This window comes from Homo sapiens, chromosome 2 (genome assembly GCF_000001405.40).
Source record: "Homo sapiens chromosome 2, GRCh38.p14 Primary Assembly".
In the NCBI taxonomy this organism is placed as follows: Eukaryota; Metazoa; Chordata; class Mammalia; order Primates; family Hominidae; genus Homo; species Homo sapiens.
The window spans coordinates 145,284,005-145,288,097 of NC_000002.12; positions in this window are offsets into that span (position 1 = coordinate 145,284,005).

Consider the following 4,093-nt stretch of genomic DNA (forward strand, 5'->3'; position numbering starts at 1 on the left):
TAGTGAGAAGTTAAAGAACTCAGTCTTTTGTCCCAATTTACTCATTAAAAAAAAGCGCGGTATTGATTAGTTGTAATTCCACATTATAGTTGAATATTGTTTTATAGCTTATAGAGCACTTTAAAATAAGTTATCTCATGCAATTTGATCTTTACAGAAGCTCTATTACCTATAGCAAGGGGGGAATGTTACATTCTTAATTTTATAAATAAGAAAGCTAAGATTTGAGTTACAAAACTATCTTGAAATTGTATAACTAGCAGATCTATATCAAAAGACAAGCTTTTTTTGTTGGGTTGGTTGTATTGATTTTTAGCTGCAAATGTGTTGTTCTATCACATTATCCTTTCTGAAATGACATAGTCACCAAATTTTGTGTTTTGTAACAAATACAAAAAGTTTGATAGATTAATAATTATCCTAAAAGTGTTGAACTCAGGTCTGACACAATGGCAATTAATTTCAATTAAAATAAATAAATGTAAAGGTTGTATTTATATTTTAAAAAGAACTGCCCTGAATTAAGAGAACGTCCTTGTCACGAGCCTGTTGTGAATCAATCTTGCAATAAAATTTTTCATGAAAACAAGACGGAATTAGGAGAAATACATTCTTCTAGGGAACAGGAGTGACAGCTTTGTCTTTTCTGCATCAGTCACAACGCAACCAGAGTTTTAAATTCAGTAATTGATAGCACATTTAAGAGTGATGTTGGCAAGCTGAAGTCCAGAGGAGGTGACTAAGTGGTGAGATGAAGTTGGAAAAGGGCCTGGCTCATGGGTCGGGCATTGCCCAGTGCCACAGGCAGAGTTCTAAAGATCTGAAATTTATCATTTCCTTTTATCGTTATAACAAACTTAGACAATAGAAACTAGCATTATTCCTATCCCACAGTTAAATGAACAGTCATCTTTCTAATACTGAGAATAATCATCGTTAAACATTCATTTTGCGAAAGACTTATCAAGGAGCACAATTAGAATGATGCAGTTATGCTAGAGAAACTCTAACATCCTATAAGGTTCTAGATTTATTTACTCTTTGATGTTCTTCTAATCTTCATCCCCCTAGACCCCTTGGGTCTCAAAATTCAATTAAAGCTAAAGTTTACTTATGTTGGTGAGCATAAACATGAATAATGATGTTAACATAAACTTTACCTACACCATAACCTTACCTATACCATTATATATAATATAGATCAAATGTAGATAACTATAAATTTATATTGACTCTCACTTCACCATACACTTTATATATGCCATGAAATTAAAAAAAAAACTAAATATTTCAGCACCTTAATAAAGTGTTGTTTTACTTTGTTACTTTAAATAACTGAATCCCTTCTTAGCTATTCCTCTATATTTTTTCTATTTTTTCCAATGTTTAATTATTTACTTAAAAAAATTGAACCAGTAGGTAAAAAAAGACAGGGGAAAAATACAGAAAAAGTTCCATCTATCACTGCTCTGACACCAATTCTGTGACATCAATTAGATGTCCTGAATTTAACTGAATTCCAACACTCACTACCTGGTGTCAGCACCTGATTCCACAAGTCAAAGGCAAAGTTCCCCAAAAGCCTATCCTTACTTCAGACATCAGTCACAAACGTTGGGGGCCACTTCTGACAGACCAACTATACATTTGGGGATTCCCACCACACTCTCAAGTTTGATAATTTGTGAGAACAACTCACAGAACTCACTGAAAGCATTTTCCTTGATTGAGGTTTTGTTATAAAGGATACAAATCAGGAGCAACCCAAGCAGAGACATGTAGTGTGAGGTCTGAGTGTGAGCTCTTCATGCACAGCTTCTGCACACTCCCCTCCTGGAAGGTGGGCACAGCATCTTCCCAGCACTGCAACATATTTGCCAACCAAAAGATCCACTGAACCTCACATTCCAGAATTTTCACTGGGTTGTCATTAGACAGACATGGTTGAGTAAATCACTGGCAACCTGATGGAACTCAGTCTCCAGCCTCCCTCTTCTCTTCCAGCTGACTCAAAATGCCAACCCTCTAATTACATGATAGGTCTTTCTGGTTAGAAACCCCTTTCCTGAAACTATCTCCACCCCTACCTACTCACCAGTAGTCACTTCATTAGCACAACAAAGATACTCCTAAAACTTGAAAATGCCAAGGGGTTTGTCAGGACCCAGGAACAAAGACTAAATATATGTTTTATTATACCATGTTATCTATTTACCTATCTAACTGCTTAATGTAGTTTACTATAAAAATGACAGATCCTTTCTATACAACCACATTTAAACTTTGAGAAAATATCTAGTTGATTTGAATGAGTTATATTCAAACATCAGAAAAATTCATGTTTTAAGAACATTTGCCACTTTGGTAATGAGTAATGAGGAAATGCAGAGAGAGATTTTATTGATTAGCCATGCCCAGAATGATTCTGAGGACCACTCACATTCTGCTCTTTAAAGTAGTTATCCTAGGTTAAGGATCAACCTGGTCATGTTGGAGTGAATCTAAATTGCATGACTGGAAAGAGTTTGCAATGTTTTCCCCTTCCCTTTTGTCAATGAAGCAGGATATGTCTATCAAAGGCAGAGAAAATGAAGGGGTGGGAAAAGAAACTGCGTAGCAGCAGCGTTTCTGTGTGTGTCTAGCAGAGCATGAGAAAATGAGGATGATGCTGGTTTAGTTTCCATTCTATTCATCCCTGAAGTTGCGTAGATAACATAATAAATGAATACTGTAGTTCCTTTAATTCGACATAATGCACACGCACTCTGTGAGGTTTATAGCTTTCCTAAGGTTTTGTGGCAATGTTTGTAGAAACTTTAGAACAACTGTGAGGTCTACAGGGGATAAAGTCCCTGAGAAATGGAGTGCTTTGTTAGATGGAGTGGAGACGAAGGGCATACATCCTGCTTATCATGCACACTCAAGGCTTGATGCAATGCTGACTTGACAGGTAGAGAGCAGAGAATTACCGTGTCTGTTCACAGTCCCTGAAATGACATCCTCTGGATACAGCTTCCTGCCAGGGGAGAAACAGACTATCTGGTATTTTGACAAAGAAGAGTTTATAAACACTCGAGAAAACTTGGACCTTTGGCAAAAGAGAGATTACGGGAGGGGGCAGGGATGCAGCGTCAAATCAAGAATGTCTGGATGAAAGTCAGCCAGTACTAAACAACATTGCTGAAGAATCTAATGATGTGTGTTTTAGTTGCAGAGAAGGCTGAGTAGCAGTTTGGGACATCTATTACTTATTTTTCTTATTGTGCCATAAAACATATAAACTTCTAATAAAAATCATTCTGAATAATTTCTAATTAAGTTGGGGCAGAAAAAGAGTGTGAGACTTAAATGTAGATCTTTATATCTTGGGAATGAAATATTTTCACACCCACAAGATGGACTTGAGTGATTTAAGCTACCCTCCTAGTTATAGAATTTCTATAACTGTTGCTCATCAGGTGAGAGAGGAATATGACAAGGTTTCTGTTTGAGCCTTAGGAAGGCTACAAAAGAGGCAAAGCTACCTTGGTTACAGTTGCAGTTTTTTATATTGACAAATTCTTATTTAATTAGCTGCATGTCTTTCTGTCACTATAGCTACTGCAAAGGTTTCATTATTCATTAAATAAGCAATGAATATAGACAAAAATTGCAGCCACATGGGCTGCACAAACGCATTTTCATATTATTAACATGTTGCCAACTTGCAACTCTTCGAAGTCTGAGTAAATGTTTTGACAAGAAGAGACAGCAAGGACAAATAAGAAGTAGCGGTCTTGAAGAAATTCAGCCCCAGTTCTAACAGCTTTAAAGTCTTAAGAGTGTTTTTGCTGGGGCAGTACCAGATAAATTGCTCTTATATGTGCATGTAAGAGACTAAAATTCCTTTGAAAGTTTATAATTTCTCATGGGAAAACACAACATAAAAGTAACTTTTACTCATAGAAAAACAAAACCATATTTTCCTGTCAACCTTTGCTGTTGGGAATTTCAAACTTTTTGCATTTTTTTCCTGTGATATTTAGCTGGCCCAAGGGACAGGCGTTTACAACATAATTTACTTTCAACGTGTCTCTGTAAATCATTGTAATAC